The 22780-nt window shown below is 42.7% G+C and overlaps 1 protein-coding gene across 14 annotated transcripts in view; it reads left to right on the top strand.

The window, feature by feature from the left end:
* Positions 1-22780, top strand: part of PALLD (palladin, cytoskeletal associated protein) — a 431390-nt gene that overhangs the window by 126666 nt on the left and 281944 nt on the right. The window contains exons 1-2 of one of the 14 annotated variants that reach the window (XM_024453939.2): positions 7861-8183; positions 16229-16341. The exons of 12 other annotated variants lie outside the window; for them this stretch is intronic. The gene's annotated coding sequence lies outside the window, so the exon portion shown is untranslated. Of the gene's footprint in view, positions 1-7860; positions 8184-16228; positions 16342-22780 lie in introns of those variants that run through there. One more of the 14 variants, NM_001166109.2, reaches the window with a different exon arrangement.

The raw sequence follows: 22780 nt of genomic DNA on the forward strand, positions 1-22780 counted from the left end.
GTGAAGTGTAATTCAGGCCAGAAATTAATATAGTAAGAAAAGGGGCACTTTGTAATGCTAAATAGTGAAACTCAAAATGAGGCTACAGCAATTATGAATACACATTCATCAAACAACACAGTAGCCACTGTGTAAAGCAGGAATTACAGAAGAGGAAAGAAGAAATAGACAGAAATGAAAATTCAGTCCATGATAAATAAGTCAACATATCTTAAGTTCGGAAAAGACATAACATAATAAGATACATGTTATTCAACTCTGTATCCTGAAAATATCTCCATATTATCTAACATCATTTTTTCAAGTGGTCAGGAAACATATATGAAAATTAACCATAGGCAAGGCCCACAAAGTCAACAAATTCCAAAAGATAGAAACATTACAAATAATATTTTTGGTCACAATGCAATAAAACAAAAAATTGTTATCAAAATCTCAGTTATCAATATCGATACAGAAAATTCTAAATGAATACTGGCAAACAGCATTCACTAGCACATTAAAAAAAGTAATTACCATGACGAAATGGAGCTTGTTGTAGGAATGCAAGAATAATTCATGGCCAAGAAATTTATTATATCCCATTAAATTAATAGCTCTATGGAGAAAAAAATATATGATCATTTCCAAAGATACCAAAAAGAGCATTTGGACAAAAGTCAATACTCACACCTGATCCACCCCCCGCAAAAAAGCTTCTAAGAACAAATTAATATTCTCTTAGCATAATAAAATAGATCATTCTCATCCCAAAGCCCACATCATGCCCTGAATCACTGGGCATAGGTAATCACTGAAGCCATTTCCATTAAAATAAAAAATAAGACAAGAATGCCCACTCTTACTACTGTTATTTAACATCATACTAGACCTAATAGATAATGAAATTTGAACAGAGAAACTAAAAGTATAAAAATTGGAGAGCAGATGGTTAATCTTTATTTTTAGATTACATTATATAGTTAGAAATACAAGAGAATTGGGAAATATTTATAAACAATATGAGTAAGATAGAATGGCACACAAGGAATACACTGTAATTAGTTGCTTATATCCAGCTAGAAGATGTAATGAGAGAAAAGACCCCATTTACAATAGTAATAACAAAGATAAAATACCTATGAATAAACTTAATACATGTCCAAGACACATATGAAAAATCTGTAAAACATTCCCAAAGGACACAAAATAAGATTTGAACAGATAGAAAGATCTACCTTTTTCTTAGCTAGAAAGACTTGATAACATGAAGAAGTCAACTTTCTCTATGTTAATTATTTAAATTTAATTCTGATGATACAAACAGGAATAAGAGTTTCTATTATTGTTTACTCTGAAGTTTATATGGAAAAACAATAAGGAAAACTGGGAAACTGAGAAGAGCAATGAGAAACGATATTAAATGTATAATAGAAGTGATTAGATATTAGATATTAAGAAAATATTAAAAATTAAAAGCATTGATAATTAACTGGTGTGGCGGTAGCACCCAAACTAAAAAAAAATCAACCAAGGAAATATAATGTCCAGAAATAGACTCAGCTATACACAGGAATTTAATAGATGATGATAATAGCATCTCAAAACAGGGTAAAAGATTATTATCATGAAGTGGTGGTGAAGCAAAGCACAGGCAACAGAAGCAAAAATAGGCAAATGGGGCTATATCAAACTTAAAAACTTCTGTGTATCAAAGGACAAAATCAACAGAGTGAAAGGTCAGCCTATGTTACAGAAGAAAATAATTGCAAATCACATATCCAATAAGGGATTAATATCCAGGAGATATATATATATATATCCTATAAGGGGTTAATATTCAGGATATATATATATATCTCCTACAACTCAACAACAAAAATAACCTGATTTTTAAATGGGCAAAGGACTTGAACAGACATTCCTCCAAAGATGAAATTTACATGGCCAACAAGCATATGGAAAGATGCTAAACATCATTAATTACTAGAGAACAGAAAATCAAAACCCCAATGAGATATCACCTAACACCCATTAAGATGGCTGCTATGAAGAACACAAAAAGTAACAAGTGTTGGCAAGGGTGTGGAGAAATTGGAACTCATGCGCCCTGTTGGTGGAAATGTAAAATGGTGCAGCCACTATCGAAATCAGTCTCACTTCTGGGTACATAGCCAAAAGAAATGAAAGCAGGATCTCAAAAAGATATTTGCTCATCCATGTTCATAGCAGCATTATTCACAATAGCAAAGAGGTGTGGGCAACCCAAACATCTACTGTTGGGCTAATAGATAAAGAAAAAGTGGCCTGTAATCCCAGCACTTTGGGAGGCTGAGGCAGGCGGATCACGAGGTCAGGAGATCGAGACCATCCTGGCTAACATGGTAAAACCTCGTCTCTACTAAAAATACAAAAAAAAATTAGCCGGGCGTAGTGGCGGGCACCTGTAATCCCAGCACTTTGGGAGGCCGAAGCAGGCGGATCACGAGGTCAGGAGATCGAGACCATCCTGGCTAACACAGTGAAACCTCGTCTCTACTAAAAATACAAAAGAAATTAGGCGGGCGTGGTGGTGGGCTCCTGTAGTCCCAGCTACTCGGGAGGCTGAGGCAGGAGAATGGCGTGAACCGGGAGGTGGAGCTTGCAGTGAGCCGAGATCGCACCACTGCACTCCAGCCTGGGCGACAGAGCGAGACTCCATCTCAAAAAAAAAAAAAAAAAAAAAGGTGGTGACTGGGCACTGTGGCTCATGCCTGTAATCCCAGCACTGTGGGAGGCAGAGGCGGGTGGATTGCTTCAGCCCAGGAGATAGAGACCATCCTGGGAAACGTGGCGAAACCCATGCCTCTATTAAAACTACAAAACTTAGCCGGGTATGGTGGCACACGACTGTCGTCCCTGCTACTTGGGAGGCTGAGGTGGGAGGATCACTGGAGCCCTGGAGATTGAAGCTGTGGTGAGCCAAGATTATGCCACTGCATTCCAGCCTGGGTAACAGAGTGAGAACCTGCCTCCAGGAAAAAAAAAAAAAAAAAAGTAAATGTGGTATAGACATACAATGGAATATTATTCAGCCTTAAAAAGAAGAAAATCCTGCCACATGCCACAATATGGATGAGCCCTTGAGGATATTATGCCAAATGAAATAAGTCAGTCACAAAAAGACAAATACTGTATGATTTGCGGTGATTAAAGCAGTCAAAGTCATATAAACATGGAAAAGAACAGTGGTTGCCAGGGGCTTGGAGGAAGGAGAAATAGAAAGTCATTCAATAGGTACAGCATTTCCATTTTGAAAGATAAAATGTTCTGGAGATCTTTTGTACAACAGCATGAACATACTCAACACTACAGAACTGTACACTTAAAAATGATTGAGATGGTATATTTTATGTGTTTTTTAACAACAACTAACATTTAAAAAATTATTCTTTTTGAAAGTGGTAGTGGGGCAACTGGATCATTAATAATAAAGCAAGATCCATACCTTAATACCTTATACACTAAACCAGGATAAAATATAAATGAACAGGCCAGGCACGGTGGCTCATGCCTCTAATCCTAGCACTTTGGAAGGCTGAGGCAGGTGGATCACCTGAGGTCAGGAGTTCGAGACCAGCCTGGCCAACATGGCGAAAACCCATTTCTACTAAAAATACAAAAATTAGCCTGGCATGGTGGCGTGCACCTGTAGTCCCAGATACTCGGGAGGCTGATGCAGGAGAATCACTTGGACCTAGGAAGAAGTGGTTGCAGTGAGCCAAGATTGTACAATTGCACTCCAGCCTGGGTGACAGAGTGAGACTCTGTCTCCAACATATAGATAGATAGATAAATAGATAGATAGACCAAATACCTAAATATCAAAAATAAAATCAGAGTATATAGGATAAGACAGGCCTATCTATGACTCTTTTAAAAACTGATAAATTCAATTAAATAAAATTAGAAACTTTTTTAATGTCATGAGATATCAAGAGCCAAGTCGAAAGACAAACGGCAAAATGAGAAAACAATCTGAAACTCCTAACGCAAAGGGATAATCTCCTTAACATACGTGGAGTTTCAAGAACTGAAGAACAAGACCAAGAACCCAATAAAATATGGGAACACTATATAAACAATAAGGCCACAACAAAGGAAATAGAATTGGCTCTTAAATATATAAAAAACTTGCTCAGCCTCACTCAAAATCAGAGAAATGCGAGTCAAAACTATCTTGAGACATCACTTTTCACCTATCAGACTGGCAAACATCCAGAAGTTTGATTGCACATTTTGCTGGCAAGGCCGTGGGGAAACAAGCACCATTTAACATTGCTAGTGGAAGTGTAAATTGGTTCAGCCCTTTGAAAGGCAGCTTGGCTGTATTTATCAAAATTCAAAATGTAAAATCCAGTAATCCCACTTGTGGGAATTAATACTATAGATAAACTTGCACAAGTGTAAAATGTCATGTGTGGACGTTTGTAACATTGTTTAATAGCAAAAGATTGGAAACAAGTCAAATGTCTATCAGTGGGATTCTGATTGAATAAATCGTGGTGCATTTATCCAAGGGAATGCTATGCCACATTAAACACAGGCATGGTTACTCTGCACTGATATGCATGTAAGTCTCATCGTGTCCGTCCTCTTCTCAAGACCCTCCAATGGCTGTCTGTTGCTCTGAGGGTAAGTCCTGAAATACTTACACTGGTTTAGCGGGTCCTACACCATCTGGCTGTCCTGTCTCTCTGACTTCATATGACATTCTACATCTCACTTTCTCTGTTTCAGCCACATTGTCCCCTTTGCTGTTCCTCAAACGTGCTAGGCATGGTCCCTCCTTAAGGCCTTTGCACTAGCTTCTTCTGCCTGGATCACCATACTCTCCAAATAATCCCAAAGCTCACTGACTCCCTTACCATGATCAAGTCTTTGCTCACACGTCACTGTCTCAAGAAAGCTGCCCCTGGCCGCTCCGTTTTAAATTAAAATTCCCCACTGACATCCCCAACCCCCATTATCTTGCTCAGTGTGTTCAACTGCTCTTATTATGTCCTAACTCAACACAGAATTAACTTGTTTAGTATGTTTGTTTTCTGCCTAATGTGCCCCTTGCCCAAGATATAAATGCCAAGGGACAGAAAGTTTTGTCAGCTTGTCCCCTGCTGTGTTACCAACATACACAATAGTCTGTGGCATGAAGTAGGTCTTCAACAGGTGTTTGTTTCCAAACAAATGAATTAATGAACATACAATGTGGAAAGGACTATAAAGTGTATATGTATTTAAGTGAAGATGTAAGACGAAGCCCAGTTATTGTTCTGCCTATAGTATTTTTTTTTTTTTTTTGAGATGGAGTTTCACTCTTGTCGCCCAGGCTGGAGTATAATGACGCGATCTCAGCTCACTGCAATCTCTGCCTCTTGGGTTCAAGCAATTCTCCTGCCTCAGCCTCCCAAGTAGCTGGGATTACAGGTGCCCGTTGCCATGCCCAACTAATTTTTGTTTTAGTAGAGATGGGGTTTCACCATGTTGGCCAGGCTGGTCTCCAACTCCTGACCTCAGGTGATCCGCCCACCTCAGCCTCCCAAAGTGCTGGGATTACAGACGTGAGCCACCGTGCCCGGCCCTGCCTATAGTATTTTTAAGAAATAAAGAAAAAGTGTAAGAATGTATTTAGGCCAAAAGAAACCTGGAAGTCTACAGAGAAAACTATTATCAGTGGTTACCTGGAGGGAGATGTATGGACTGGGCATATGGGGAAGAGTGGTAGAAAGGAGACTGTGGTGCATGTACTTTTATATAAATTATGTAAATGTATTACTTATTCAAAACATTAAATTAACAAAAGAAAAATAAAAGCTGATGTCAGCTCCCAAAGATTGTAATTCAGTAGTTCTGAGCAGGGCTCAGGGGAATCTGCATTTTCAACAAGCTCCCCCACCCTCCCATCCCTTCCTGGGTGGGGTAGATCACCCTCAAAAATCACTGTCACCACTACCTCTCCTGACCCCAAAACGCCACAAACCGCGTAACGTTGGGATAGTTCTCATTTGGAGCACAAGCAAATGGGCAGGCACATCACAGAAACTAATGGCAGAGTTTTCAGTAACATTTGACACCACTAACAGCTGCCACCCAAAAGGCAGCCTCCTTGTGTGGAAGAACAGCAGAAATTTCATCTACCCTTCAGTTTCATCCCCACAAGCAAGCAGGACCAGTAAAAGGAGTGTCCTCTCTGTCTAAGACATTTATATATGTTGGGTGTTTAGACTAAATTTCAGACTTCTAAACATTCACAGGTTTAGCGAAAGTAGTTGGAGGGGCTTCTTCAGATTTCTGCGCTCATGGTGATCATATACTGAAACCCTCCAAATTTTTCCTTCCTCTTTCGCCCAGGCATTTTAATTAATACAATGTCCTTCCTAATTCACAGAGGAAAGATCTTTCTAAGAACCCTTGCTGGAGATGAGAAAGGTGGTAAGGATCTGAAATGTGTCTTAGCAAGACTCACCCAACAGGGCCACCCTGCTTCATTGTGATGCCTTTCAGATAAACGAAGTATTCGGCTCTTGTTATTCAATGACCCTAATAAAACTTTACAACTGAAGTGTAGAGGAAAAAAATAAATAAAAAGATCTAATGACATACAAGAAGGGACTGAACCTGTCAACCCCAGAATATTTTCAGTCTGAAAAGCAACCTCATCCTTATTAACTTTACATTGATTCCCAAAGAGCGGAAAATTTAATAAGGAAGAAAAAATTCAATATTTCATGACTCACCACTTCCTCGGGATAATAAATACGAACTAAAGATATATACACTGAACGCTTTTAACATTTTATTTTCACTTCAAAAAATACTGTTTGCACTATCTCTACTATTGACCTCTCAAGATGATTCTATTTCCGGAACGCATTTTTTGATATGGTTTCTAATTCAAAAATCTGTCACATCTTTGATATTTCATAGGCTCCATTAAAATTAATAGCTTCATGGGTCCCTCATGAGTTTCTTCCTTAAATTTTCAAACGGTTTGTGGTCTGTTTCTCAGACTGGCCAATGACAAGCAGTTCTGGGACTGGAAGATGGAAGTAGTGAAATAATCTTTAAAAATGTGTAAAAATTAAGCACTGTCTGCCAGGGGCTTTAGAGTTGGCAAATAGCTAGGTCTTTATTAAACGGTTGGTTTTGTTTCTCCTGTTGTTTCTTCCTGATATCCGTCTGTGTGGTAACTGAGTCACTATGACATAATACCGCAGAGAAAGACTGCAGGACAACCAGACGTACACATGTTCATCCCTCAATGAGTCGCAACCTTGGGTCTGTTCCCTAGACATTGGTGGAAAGACTTGATTAATGGCAGACTTGTTCAACATAAAAAAGAACAAAGACCAGATTTATTCTTGGCATTCCCTTTCCTAGGGGCTTACTTGTAATGGGGTAATTAATTTATGGCTTTGCAGTAAGGCGGCATCAGAGGAGCAATTTAACTCACAAGAGGTAACGCAGATGGAGAGTACAACTGAAAGATACCTTGTGTGGAAGGGTACAGAAGGAACCTCAAGCTGGACGTTGATTTCTTTTATCAGTAATACAAATTCACTACTAGCTGCTTCTTGGATTTCCCCCCTTGAGAGCTGCAACGTTTCCTAAATGAACAGAGGTCTTTAGGGAATGCCTCAAACCACAGCTGAATGGGGAGTGGCTTTAGAAATCGCCGGTGGAACTTGCCTGTTACCTTCTTACAATTCCCCCCGCCCCTGGGCAACGCAAAAGCCGTCCTAAGTGCGATAAGAGCATGGAGTGAAGGGAGTTATTTCTGGAGTTTAGCAGCATTCCTCCCCAGGACACACCCTCTCCCCCTCCCCAGCAGCCCGGCACTCCGACACACTCCGCGCACACGCGCCCCTCGGCGAGACGCGGCGCATTCGCGCGCTGGAGACCGGCGGCCTCTCACCGAGCCTGAGTCGTGGCCGCTGCGCCGCCAGGAGGCTTCCCGGGAGCCGGCGGGGCCCAGGACCTCTCGAGCGCAGCAGGCAAGGGGCCGGCCTTTTGGCAGCGCGGCTGCCAGTTAATTTTCTCCGTTGCATTCTGCAAACGAGATCGCATTCAGAGCCCAGAAGTTGCAAGCTGGGAATAAGCGAGATCTGAAAGACCCCCAAGAGGAGCTTGTTTGGGAGTGGGGGCAGACGGCGTTTTGCGCCCAACTGGTAAGTGGCAGCATTAAATCTATGCAGACATGGAGGAAATAAAGCTTTGCAGCCTTTCCAGGCAGTGGCATGCAAGTACTCGTGCGAAGAGTACTGTTTGGGGTGTTTAGTTGTAGTGGACTCAGAATACCGTGTTCCGCCACGGTTTTCCTAATCCCTTCTTCGGACTCCTCTTTGGGGGTTGGCGGGGGCGGGTCCTGCTTCGCGGGACTTTTCTGTTGTTGGAGTTAGGGTGGGGGAGGGGAGAAAGGCGTGAGGTTGAATAATCTCTCCTACCCACCTCACCCTTTTTTTTTTCCATTAAAAAAAATGATACTTTTAGAGAAGCTTCTCTTTCATGTGTTTAACTTGCCTGCTGCGATTTGAGCCCAATGAGTTTGTATTTTCTCTAATTACTTTGTAATCGGCTCCATCCTCGGTTGAAATAGAAGGAAACTTTCACAAAGCAATCAATTTCTGACAGCCTAAGAGCTGCTCAGTTGCTGAATGAGGTCTAGCTGGAAACACTTTGTTTCTCACAAGGTTTTGGTGATTTTTCCCATGAGAAATCTGGGCGTTTTCACACCTGTTGCTTTTCAGTTGCCTCAAAATTGTTTGCTTGTTTGTTTGTTTTCTTGGGTTTCACTTGATTGCAGTTCTTTGTCTAACCAAATCCAATGCTACTTTCCCGGTTCTCCTCTCCCTTTGGACGGGGTCCCTGTTGTTAGCATTCAGTTGGCGGTGGTTCTTAGGGAACAAGTGGCAGGCAGAATACAATAGGGAAGAATGCATTCCTGATGACTCCTCTACCATGGAAAGACTGAAAAACTGACATTCTCCATTAGTTTTTATGGAAAGCATTGCTGACGCTTATAAATATTCAATTTTGGTGAGTTCCTGAAATTATTTAATCCAGAAGTAACCAGCATGACTTTTACAGAGAGAGTTCCCCTAATCTATTTGCATTACAAGCATAGAGACCCTGGCACCTGAACACCCCCAGAATGCTGAAGTCACCTTTCACTTCACTGGCAGGTAGGCTACTGACAAGGAAAGGGGTGATGGAATGTTAGGAGAGGGGCAGCGGGGAAGACCCCCTGAGAAGGGGGCTGTCCTCCAAGGGACCAGCATGATTTCAGCTTTCTGATGATTAAGAAAATCATCAGGATATTGGAGTGTAATTTAACATCCTAGTAGGTTAAGTTGAATTCCTGTCCACATGATGAAAAAGACTTTCTATCAGCCCTTCTCACACTTCCAAGTGGAGCTCAATGGAATGCTTGTTTATTTCTGTTGCCGATAAATCCATGGGAAATCTCTGCTGAACCCAGCAATTTTAAAAAAGCAAGTTCCAGCTTATAATTGCCCGTATAATGGCAAACAGGTTATTTTCAGTAACCTAAGACTCTTACATTTCCCCCCGCGGTTGTTATAGGGGTTACATGAAGATGTTATGAGCATGCATTTGAGCTTACCCACCCCCAACTGAAATGGAAAGTTATCCTTGGGTGTCTGATGGAAAAGATTGTTGCCAGATACCTTAGGAGGCTATAAAATAACATGTTTCTGAAAAGATCATAACTAGTAGACATGAGTGTCTATAGCTACTATATAATTTTTCATTGTTCCTTTAGGAAAGAGACCTACTTTGATCACTACAGTGTTTACATTTGTTGTTTATTTGTTGTATGGTTTTTCTGAGTCTTTTTTCTTTTCTTTTTGCTATTGAAAATCTCCCTTCATTTAAATGAAATCACAGACTAGAAATAGCAATGATTGCTCTCTAGGGCTAAAATTAGAAACTACAAGAGACTTTTTAGACACATCCCTCTTGTCTCATGGAAGGTTCTGCCGAGTTTTCTTTAAAACTCCCACTTAAGCAATTATTGTAAGATGATGTTTACTCTGTAAAATAGCATTTTTATTTGGACAATTTTTTTCCATCAAGCTTTAATCATACTTTGCCAATGCATATTGAACTTTGTTTCTCTGAGGTGCCTAAAGGGACATCCAATACATTTACCATCCCTTCAAAGTCTGTATACTTAGCTCTTTGAACAGTTTCTTAAAAAAATAATAATAATAAATAAACAAAAGCTCCAATGGCACTTGCAAGAGACAAGACTGGGTCCTGTGATGTGATGGCAGATGGCAGTTGCATGAGCTTTGTTTATGCTCAGAACAAGCTCGGTGTCTCTTAAATTAATCATGAATTGAATAATTGATTTCTCACACCTTGGGCTGCATTTAATCTTCAGCTGTACATTTAAAGATAGGTTATGATTGAGGTCTTGTTCACTTGGACGTCCTTTCAAAGCCTATCAAGTGATTTTACAGTTGGGTCATTTCTAATCGTAACACATATTATAAAATGTAATGACATAAACTTCGAGCTTTCCTGGCTTTTCAATTTCCAAGATGGGCTTCAGTGACCTTCCCATTTGTTGGTCAGCCCCAAAGATGGTGGGGCTAATGGATACAGTGGTTTTTCTGTAAATGTAATTAAACGTGCCTCTGCCAGCTGCCTGTGGTATTTGTGAATGTTTTCGTAAGAAAAGCTGTTCTTCGACTTTATCTGCCCACTGTGGTTTGTGGCATGTTGTGCTATTCTGCAGCCTTGCAGTTTTTTTCCTGAATGATTGGGCTATGATGTCATGTGCTATCTCAGCGCAGAACCTTTTCAAAGCTTTGCTGGGGTCTGTGTGCCTGAGCGAGGGGAGTGGAGGCTCCCTCAGAGCGCACTTGGTAGCGACTCCCCGTCTACTCCAGCACATTCCATCGCCTGGAGACCAAAGCCACCAAATGATTTGCGGTCAGAGTGATTTGGGGCTGGTTAGAGATGATTTAAAAGGAAGGTTATGGGCATATGAAGTGTAGCGTAAAGAAAATATATTTTACTACTTTATTGAGACCACATGGCTCCAACTTGAACTTTTTTTTTAAACATGGAAATTGTTGGCTGAACTGGCTCACAGTGTTTTTTCCCTTTTTTTCATTTTTATTGCTCTGAGCGAAGAGCTGTACTCCCTATTTATTATATGCTTGACCTCTCCATTATTTCTGAAAGTTTGAAAAGCTTTTTATGTTTAAAGAAAACAGGAAAACGTAGGATTTATCTGTTGTGCTCTTCAAGGGCCAAATACCATTGCCAGAGAAGAGACCCAACTCTCTCCAATAACTGAAAGAAGGTTTCTTTCTCATGTCAAGCTTGGGAAGCCATCAGTTATGAAAGAGACAAGGGCCAGTCTGTCCCAGGGTACCCGAGGGCCACAGCATATCAGTACTGACAGTGTATCCATGTCTCTTGTTGACTGGGAGAGATGGTTTTGCTCAACCTCCTAAGGGTTCAATATACCCTACGATTAATAATGGGGCCAAATAAAGCATGGTCGATCTTTTCCAATGCCAGAATGGTGATGCTAGGGCTCAGAGACCAGGGGCTCCTTCTCATTAGCGGTCCATGGGAACACATAACACTTGGGTGCAACACTTCGTTTGTGAGACTAAGCAGCCATCTCCTGCCTCTCCTATGTGGGCTACCACAAACTGGCACAGTAAACCACCTATTACCTCTGAACAGGTTCCCAAATCTCTGTCCAGCATGAACTTAAAGTATCTATTATCACTTCACTCTGTGGCTCAGGTTCATCCTATTTCAATCCTCAAGGCATATGCCATAGTCTAATAGTCCATTACAAGCTATCAGATAGCCAGCTCCAACTTGCAATTCGGTGTTATGACACTAGCTAGAGAAGTGCCATGGAAAGCATGTTTGTGAGCATGCCCAGTCCCTTGGCAGCCATCAACCCAGGGTCTGAGGGCCATGACTGTGATGTAATGGAAGGCCTGAGATCTTCCCACCAACCCTTCATGGTTGCTGGTCTGTGATCCATCTGAGCCAGCCTGGATTCCCGCAGTTTGAGTCTGTGTGTGTGTCCAGGGATTTAAAGGAAAACATGTGGAGACCAAATTAGTGTGGCACCTGATGAGAAAATCTTATAGAATTGGAAAAATGTCAAGAAGGCAACATTGTATGATGGAAATCAAACTACATTGGAATTGAGGATCCTGGTTTTGCCACTATGTGACCTTGAACCAGCTATTTAGTAATGTAACATTGATAAAGCACTGTATTACATTTGATCATTTCCTTCCCAAATATGACATGTGATCATCAGAACCACATTTGGAAGCAGGTAGGGCAGGTGGCGTTATTTCCATTCTGCAAGTATGGAAACTGGAGCTCTAGAGGTTAATGACTTGCTCAAGGTCACAAAGCATGTGAGTGGTAGAATTTGACCTCAAACTCAGAACTTCTGCCAGACACGGTGGCTCATAAGCATGAGCCTGTAATCCCAACACTTTGAGAGGCCAAGGCAGGAAGATCACTTGAGGCCAGGAGTTCTGACACCAGCCTGGGCAACATAGTGAGACCCCATCCCTGCAAAAAATAAAATTAGCCCAGTGTGGTGGTGGGTACCTGTAGTCCTAGCTGCCTAGGAGGCAGAGGCGAGAAGATCGCTTGAGCTCAGAAATTCGAGGCTGCAGTGAACTACTATTGTGCCACTGCCCTCTAGCCTGACTGACAGAATGAGACTCTGTCCCAGAAAGTAAACAAAAAAACCCAGAACTTCTAACTTCAAATCTCATGATCTGTCCACCATAGCAAGCAGCCCTCACAATTCTCAACCTCTATAGAACTCACTCTCCTCATTTGCAAAAATGAGACATTTGGCCCAGAAAATTACAGGCCATTCCAGCTTAAAATTCTGTGTCTGATGAATCACTGGCTGGAAGGGACTTTAAGAAATCACTTAGTCATATTCCTTGCTTCCAGAAGGACTCTATCTAAACTATTTTGAAAAGAAAATATCAGCCCTTTTCTTACAGTCCCAGTGCAGAAAAGGGCCCCAGAGAGTGTCCAAGTGCATTTGGGAGTGAGAAAGAAACGAGGAGCTACAGAGCCAGTGCTCAGCAGGGTGATCCATTTCTTGGGCTCAGAAGCAGTGAGTCTTGCCTCCCTGGATGTGAATGTTCAGCCCTGAGATCAATATCTGAAGTAGGAGAGGAGAGTCACAAGCATGCTTTGCTGGTTAGAAAGGAAGTCTGTAAGAGAGATCAGAAAACTGGTAACTCTGTGAAGAGGAAAAGAAGAGCTAAGTGACTCAGTAATGATCTTAAAGTTTATTAAGGACTCCTGGAGAGTGCGATGACTACAAATCAGTGGTAATGTTTCTACTTAAAGATAGAAACGGCAGAATCCTGCTCATTCAGCAGGTGTGACAAGCAGAAAGCTATGCTAATCTAGCCTTACTTTGCTTGTATCGGAGGGGTTGGTGGCAGAATGGGAGTGAAAGGGGCTTCTCCCTGAAGACGGTGCCTAGGAGCCCCACTCCAGTCTTCCCTTCTCTCTCAGCACAGTTCTCAGCCGGCTGGTGTACCAGTTAGTGTCTAGTAACCTTTCTAGGACAAGGGACTACCAGTAGACAACTACCAGCAAGCACAGCAAGTTGCAAGTTCAGTCTCACATTGCTCAGCTAACCCGGTTATAATTTTAAAAACTGATTTGGCTCCATGTTCTTCCTATGTCACTCCCATGAAATAGATGTTACTTTTTATTTAAAAAAAAAAAAAAGTAGTGACTGAGATCAGAAGACAAGTAATTATCACAACTCTACAACTTACAGAGCTTAGACAAGGCATTTCCTACTCTGGGTCTTGATTTCTCATCTGTGAAATGGGCTAACAATAGCCACTTCAAAGTTAAATATTTCTGAGGATTAGCCAGGCGCAGTGGCTCACACCTGTAATCCTAGCACTTTGGGAGGCTAAGGCAGGTGGATCACTTGAGGTCAGGAGTTTGAGACCAGCCTGGCCAGCATGGCGAAACCCCATCTGTACTAAAAATACAAAAATTAGTTGGGCATGGTGGTGAGTACCGGTAATCCCAGCTACCCGGTTGGCTGAGACAGGAGAATTGCTTGAAACTGGGAGGCAGAGGTTGCAGTGAGCCAAGATTATGCCTCTGCACTCCAGCCTGAGCAACAGAGGGAGAATACATCTCAAAAAAAAAAAAAAAAAAAAAAAAATTCTGAGGATCAAATGGGGAAACATAGATGAGCATGCTGTGTAACAGTTTACATCATTATTAAAAGGAGTCCAATTTCAGGCTTTTCTGTAAACCACAAGGTCACAGATGTTTCTTTTTATTCTGCCTTAATTCCATTCCCAAGCCAAAATCAGAATCACAGCAGTTTATCCTCACTTACTATGTGTCAAGCACATAACCACCTTTAATCCTCACAAAAATATTATGAAGTAGATATATTACCCCTATTTTATTATCTGGAAACTATATTCTCACAAAGATAAGCATCTTGCCCAAGATCACATGGCTACTAAGTAACAGAGACAAAGCGGAAACCAAGGCTGTCTCAAGGCAAAGCTGTGCTCTCAGACCTTCAGGGCTCTGAAGAACTGGGGCCCTGTCCTACCTGAGTACAGCCCCAGTCCTCTTGGTTTCAAGTTGCAGTTGATCTCCTGGCAGGCCTTCCAGGGGGTCTCCTCAGCTGTTCTGAGTCTAGATCAGGTCCTTTGCTTAGTCCCTTAGCTAAAGCTTCATCTTAATCCATAGTTTAGTCCATTCTGGCGGCTATAACGAAGTACCATAAACTGGATACATTATAAACAACAGAGGTTTATTGCTCACAGTTCTGAAGGCTGAAAAGTCCAAGGTGAAGGTGCCGGTAGATTCAGTGTTTGGTGAGGGCCCACTTTCTGGTTCATAGATGGTGCCTTCTTGCTGTGATCTCACGTATTGGAAGAACTAACTAGCTCCCTTGGGCCTATTTTATAGGGGCACTAACCCTATTCATGAGGCTCTACCCTCATAACCTAATCACCTCCCAGAAGGCCCCACTTCCTAAATACCATATGAATTTGGGAGGGGGGGCGGGCCATAAACATCCAGACCATAGCAATCAGCTTACCCCGATTCACACTCCACCGTCTCCTCTCTTTTTCCTGTCCTTATTCCTAGGTGGCTTGCTGACCCCTCTCATGTTCCTCTCCCACTCCACACATTCCTCTTTGGAACATCCTACATTCTCTTCCCCACCTTTCTCTCAGAAGCAGATACTTCCCCATAAGGATCTTGTACCTCTCCCCAGTTTTCCCAGCCCATGACATTAGCCCATCAAGCCTAGATCAAATGCCAATTTCCCCAGCATGTTTACTGTGTTTCCTTTCACTGGAAATAAATTTTAGCATGTTAAAGACAGCCTCTATATTACTTATGAATATCACAGAATGTGAATTTTCAAAACTGTGAAAACCACAGAAGTCATTGCTCAGTTGCCTTTATTTTATAGATGAGGAAACTGAGGCCCAGACAAGTTAATTTACTGCCCACAGTTATAACTGTAGGCTAGAGCTGGAGCTGATTCCAAATGCAGTCAGTATTGTTGTCAAAATAGTTTAAACTGGGCATGTTATTGTATCCGCATCCTCCAGTCTGGTGTGGCCCCTTGGTCAAAGTTTGGAAAGGAGTTTCGCCCTTGCCACAACAGTCTGATTGGACTCAGACCATGAATCATAAGAAATGTTTTCTTTTACTTAAACCTGTTCACTCCTCAATAGGCTACAAAGAACTATTGGCCATTCAACTTTTTTTTTTTTTTTTTGAGACGGAGTCTTGCTCTGTCACCCAGGCTGGAGTGCAGTGGTGTGATCTTGGCTCACTGCAAGCTCCACCTCCCAGGTTCACACCATTCTCCTGCCTCAGCCTCCTGAGTAGCTGGGACTACAGGCACCCACTACCACGCCCAGCTAATTTTTTGTATTTTTTAGTAGAGACGGGGTTTCACCGTGTTAGCCAGGATGGTCTCGATCTTCTGACCTCGTGATCCGCCCGCCTCGGCCACCCAAAGTGCTGGGATTATAGGCGTGAGCCACCGTGCCCGGCCTGCCACTCAACTTTAATTTGTGGCCAGGAAGAGTTAAGTCTCCCCTTAGCTTGCCTGTCTTTTAGGTTCAATAATACCAGATCTTTTTGCTTTTTCTCACAGTTCTTGTTCTCCAACAATTTCATCATCTTTATTTCTATCTGTTGAACTATATCCAAGTGCTCCATGCATCTCAAACTGTGAAGTCCAGAAGTGGACAAAGAAGTCTCATGAAGGTATGAGAAAGTGACGATGACCTCACAATTCCTTCAAACTGTGCTTCCGTTGGTGCGGCCAACTTTCATGCTCGTGTTTCAAGCGATAGCCGGGCCTCACTGGCTCAAGTTCAGCGTATTATCCTCATTTGGCTGGACACTGCTTAGCCTGTGTTTGTGATAATGATTGTTTCCTCCATGTAGCATCCAGAACTTTTCCGATTGAGCTTTTTTCCCTTTGTTCCTGACTACTACTCCAATTCATCAACTCATTTGGGACTCTAATCCTATTCTTCCACCTCTTAATTCTTAACCCCAGCTACTGTCCCAAGTAGCTTAGCACATTAAAAGTCCCTGGAATTCACCCCTGAGACTTCTGGCCCCTCAAAGCACTTCTCCCTCATGGCTCCAGGATTGGATAAAGCCAGTAGTCCATCTCCCAGTACACACAAGGCACTCACACAAGGTTATAAGTTCTGGATAAAATAAGAGATCACCAGAAAGCCTTCCAAGAGGCATGTAGCTAAGGGTCATTACATGGGTAGATTCAGAGATAACTGACTACACTTAGACCTAACTTGGGTATGATGGTGGGAGTCTCCAAGATTTTCCTTTGGCTCAGAAATGTGATAATTATGAATATTTGCACTTATAAATCACTTATCTCCATTAGCGTAAGCTACACTTATAATGATATACATTACCCCAGTTTACAGATGAAGAAATTAAGGCTCAGTGAGGTTAAGGTCACACAGCCCAGATTAGTACTTATGTTTCCTGTCTTTAAATTCCTTGAACTTTCTGTATTTCAGCAGGTTTTAAAATCTTAGAATTCCTAAAAATCCCGTGTGTGAGTTGGGTATGGTGCTTTTGAAAAATAGAGATTCCAGGCCGGGCACGGTGGCCTACGCCTGTAATCCCAACACTTTGGGAGGTCGAGGTGGGCGGATCATGAGGTCAGGAGATCGAGACCATCCTGGCTAACACAGTGAAACCCCGTCTCTACTAAAAATACAAAAAATTAGCCAGGCGTGGCGGCATGTGCCTGTAGTCCCAGCTACTCGAGAGGCTGAGGCAGGAGAATGGCATGAACCTGGGAGGCGGAGCTTGTAATGAGCCAAGATTGCACCACGGCACTCCAGCCTGGGCGACAGAGCGAGACTCCATCTCAAAAAAAAAAAAAAAGAGAGAGATTCTAGGGCCCTGGCTCTAAGACATACTGATTGCTTAAGTCTGAGTGGAGCCCTGGGATCTGCGTTTTAATAAGCACCGTAGAGGGTTTTGAGTAAGCCTTTGCATGCCATACTTGAAGAAACCCTCTCCTAAACTATGCTGTCTAGGCCAGACCCTTTAAATACTACAGATCTACCTTTGCCCTGGGATAAAGCTGGCACATAAAAACCAGCCACAGAAACCTCCTGATCCAGACAGTAGCTCAGAGGGCTCTCTGATGACCCTAAGACCCAGGACTGTGGTGCTCAGAGCCTGCCACCAACCCTGGTTCCGTCCTGTTTTTGTCCTCTTCAGTTTTGCTGACGCATTGAACTCCTCTCTTTAGAGCACTCTGCTTTGATCCCACTCAGGTCTTAGATATGCTCTCACCCCTGATTTTGTCGGCCTCGGCTGCTCCAGATGAGAAAGCCTATCTCCCTAAGGCCTTTCCAGATGCCGCTGTAAAATGGATCTGAAACCTGACTCATGAGAGACAATCTGAAGACTTTATCTGGGGAACTTTCTACTCCCGTGCACCCCAGCTGGGCAACATTTACAAACTGCTCTGAGGGAAAGCTTCACAGCCAGTTTCCCCAGAGAGGCATAGTGGTTCTTACAGTCCTACTAAACTAAGTTTACAATCTATTGTTCCTGAAAAACCAGATACTCCAGGAGGCGGATAGATGACTAGGGAATGGACAGCGCAATGAATGTTGATTGGGCATGCACAGTACACAGGCACTGCACTGATTTCTTTCCATGAGTTGTGTCTTCGTCTCCTTTCACCCATAAGGAGCACAGCCAGGATGGTTTCACCTGGTGCCTGCTCTCTACTCCCAGGGCACTTAGGGATTGTGTGTTCCTTGGATTACAAACATAGCCCTGCTACCTACACATCCCTCGGGTCTTTCAGGATCACAAAATGTGCAAGTGGTCTCTGGCTGGATTCTCTTATGTGTGTTTTATCAAGGAACAAGTAGATTCCTGATGAAAAAAAGTTTTTAGACTGAAAGCAGACTAACAGAGTGGTTGAAAATTGACATGGGACGCAACCGAACTCCCAGTCTTGGTAGACACATTCCACTTACTGCCTCTTCTCTATTCCCTTTTCCAAGTGCAGGAATCTTCTTTTTTATTTTTATTTATGTATTTATTTTATTTTATATTTTTGAGATGGAGTTTCACTGTTTTGCCCAGGCTGGAGTGAAGTGGCGCGATCTTAGCTTACTGCAATCTCTGCCTCCTGGGTTCAAGCGATCCTCCTGCCTCAGCCTCCCGAGTAGCTGGGATTATAGGCGCCCGCCACCACGCCCAGCTAATTTTTGTATTTTTAATAGAGATAAGGTTTCACCCTGTTGGCCAGGCTGGTCTCAAACTCCTGACCTCAGGCGATCCACCCGCCTTGGTCTCCCAAAGTGCTGGGATTACAGACATGAGCCACCACGCCTGGCAGGCATCTTCTGCTCAATAGGCTTGAGTCTTCCTGCACTTTTTCAGAAGCAAATCCAGCTTGTGATAGTGGGGCAGCATGCAATAACATATGCTGGCAGCAAATCCCAACACAGTGGGAAGAAACTGCTTTTCCTGTACATTCGTCTCTACTGTCTTGTGACAATCTGAAGAGAAATTCCCAAACATAAGTCTCCTGAGTGATTGTCAGGTGTATACCTTGCCTTATTGTTAGCAGACGTGAAAGCTCTTTGAGAAGACAGCAAAGTATTTGGAGCTGGAAGGAAAGGGGTGTTTGGAGCCTTGTTAGAGACCAGCTGTAGAGCCTTAGAATGTTCTCTATATAGGAAAGCTTACATTGTGCTGAAAGAAACAGTTGCCTATTGGGTTATAACTTGGCGAGTTATGTAATGATACAAATGTTGGATGACTTGTTAAAGGATCTGAGAGCATTATGGCAAAATTCTATACCCTATCCTTAATTAGATCAAGTTAAACTGAAAGGGAAAAGCAGTCTGGTTTGCTAACCACAGTGGAAGTATTGCTTTCGGGTGGAATTCATATCCGGATTGCATTGTCTGGCTTGAGGATAATACACAGGAAGCAATCTGGAGTTTTTCTTTCTTTTGGTTTTGATATTTCAGTTACAAGGAACTTGAAGTCTAGGAACTGGCTTTGCAATGTTAACAGTTATCACAGCCAGCTAGCCAAAATGTCCCTGTTTAAGATCTTGCTGTTTATCATAACATGAAGTGTGCTCTATGCCGTGTATGATTTCCAATACACATGTGTTAGTAATTACTACCAATATGAGTATCTACCCAGCCATTAATCAAGGCACCCAACACATCCTGCCAATGTACTTTGAAACTTTATCTGCTGAAAAAGCAAAATTCCCCTCCGCTAATGAACACTTTTAGGAAAGCAGGCTGGTTAAGAGTGTCTGAAGCATTTGAGTGACAGCTCCAGAGAACTCCCATTTATGACCGCAGGTGACCTAGCAAAAACTGGGAAATATAAGCACAGTTCTACATTTTAGTTTCTCCTAAAGATCATCAGTTTAATAATAACAGTTGGCCTTTACTGAGCCCTGATCAAAAGTCTCTTGACATGTTTTTTCTCCTTTAATAATCCCAGGACATAAGGTCTGTTAATATCCCTACTTCCCGATTAGGAAACTGAAGCTCAGAGAGGCTAAGTAGTTTGCAAAAATTCATTCATGGAGGAAATGACAGAGCCAGGGTACTAACCCTGGTGTGCTGACTCCGGAACTCATGCTTCTTGGATTCCATTCTTCTTTCAAAACCGCTTGGTGCCTCCAAAGAGAAAAATGGTTTGGTAATTAGTCCCATTTGCTTCCAGTGATGAAGAGGAACTCTTTGATGTTGATATCTTTTTTTTTTTTTTTTAATGGAATCTCACTCTTGTCATCCAGGCTGGAGTGCAGTGGTGCAATCTTGGCTCTCTGCAACCTCCACCTCCCGGGTTCAAGTGATTCTGTTGCCTCAGCCTCCCATGTAGCTGGGATTACAGGCGCCTCCACCAAGAATGGCTAATTTTTGTATTTTTAGTAGAGATGGGGTTTCAACATGTTGGCCAGGCTGGTCTTGAACTCCTGATCTCAACTGATCCTCCTGCCTCCAGCCACCCAATGTGCTGGGATTACAGGCGTGAGCCACTGCACGTGGCCGGATGTTGATATCTTTCAAACATTTATTGAGCACTGACCTTGTCCCAAGGGGTTAAACAGACCATATCACTGAATCCACCCAATAAACAAATAAGGTAGGTTGTAGCATCTCTGTTTTACTGTCAAGTAACCACCTGTTCCGTCCCATCATCCAGCGTTGCCCCTGTGGCCCTAAGGGTTGACCGACTTTCTGTTTGAGTGGAGTATGTAAATAGGACCAAAAAGCCATGTGGTAGTTGTAGGAGAGAGGACACAGCAATGGAAGCCCAAAAGTGTGGTTCTCATCCTGGACACCATCATTCGTGATAACTCTCTTCATCTCCTCTGTACCTGTGTTCCTTTTTCGTGCCTATAGTATTTCCTTTAACTAAAGTGGAAGTGTTATCTGAAGTTTCATGAAAATAGCATATGCATCAGAAATAGGGAGATATCAGCTGGGTGCAGTGGCTCACGCCTATAATCCCAGCACTTTGGAAGGCCGAGGCAGGCGGATCACTGGAGGTCAGGAGTTCAAGACCAGCCTGGCCAATATGGAAACCCTGTCTCTACTAAAAACACAAAAATTAGCCGGGCATGGTGGTGGGCGCCTGTAATCCCAGCTACTCGGGAAGCTGAGGCATGAGAATTGCTTGAACCCAGGAGGAGGTTGCAGTGAGCTGAGATCACACCAGTGCACTCCAGCCTGGGTGACAGTGTGCGACACAGTCTCAAAAAAAAAAAAAAAGGAAATAGGGAGAAAGATATTTTTTCTAATTCAGGATCTTCCACTAAATATCAGTATTCAAATTATGTAGCCTTTTTGACCCTCAGTATCCCAATCCGTAAAATGAAGGCAATAGTACCCAGCTCTAAATGTTGTTGTAAAGATTAAATGAGACAACACCTATGGTATGTGCAGCACAGTACCTGATATGTATCAGTAGTAGGGCCCTTTAAATGTCACTTCTGTCCCTCTTCTCAACTCCCCACCTCACCACCCGTATTAGTAAGTAGTGCTTACAATACAGATAAGATGGGGTGTTTGCGAACAGCGTCGTGCCATCCACAGTGTCACTTATCGGGCGGCAATATCAAGTAGTGGTTAAACTCTTTGAATCCCTTTAAGTAGACTGATGAAGTTGAAATCTCTGCTCCACCATTTCCTGTGTGACTTTGAGACATTTATTGAACCTCCCTGGGCCTCAGTTTCCTCTTTCTTTAAAATGGGTTAGTACTTCTCTCATGGGGTTTCTGAGAGGGCTGAATTCATTATATACTACATTCACTTAGAAAATACCTGGCCCAGAGTGAACACTTATTCGATGTTAGCTGCCATTATTATTAGTTATTTATTTATCTCTGTGACCTCTTGTAAGCTTATTAAAGGAGCTGTGCAGAGTGAGACCATGAAACAGATTTTCTAGTGCAAACGGGGCTGCTCACAGGAGGCTCGTGGAGTCTGAGTTGCTGACCTTGGCCCCATTAGCACCGTTCTCTAACCAGCTCAGGCACGGGGCTGTAATGAGGATTATTGAAGTAACATATGGAAAACTCTTAGAGTTAGCTCTTGGGAAAGGAAAAAGGCACTAAATAAATACAAGGAATTATTAAAAACCGGGAGACGACCTCACAGGGATGCTGAGCCTTGTATGTTATTTGCTATTCTAAGAAGAAACTGGGGCAAGAAGCCAACTTCATCACCAGGCGACAAAGTGGTCTCCTGGCTGCTGTTCAAGGGATGGCAGCATGCAGCATCACCTCCAGGCCATCACAGCCTCTTCCTGGCTGCAGGAAGCTCAGCTTTCCCACGAAAAAGAAGGGCTGGGTCCTATGCCAGATGCTATGCCTGCTGCCTCCCATATCTCGTGCCCAAATACCCCTCCTTTGAGGAGAGCTGGGAGGTGATATTCTAAGTGAGAACCTACCAAGTAGAATATTGATGGTAAATTCCCTCTGGTACTAGTGCAGATGACTTCGGGGCCACCAGCAATCTGCTTCCACAGCAGGACTCCAGTCCCAGACTGGGCCAAGCTCGGGGCTTCGTTGCCAAGCCTTAACAAGTATGTGGAGAGCACACAGCTCTGTAATTCTGGAGATAACAGTCCATCAGTCTCTACTTACAACTTTACC

This window comes from Homo sapiens, chromosome 4, assembly GCF_000001405.40.
Source record: "Homo sapiens chromosome 4, GRCh38.p14 Primary Assembly".
Taxonomy (NCBI): domain Eukaryota; kingdom Metazoa; phylum Chordata; class Mammalia; order Primates; family Hominidae; genus Homo; species Homo sapiens.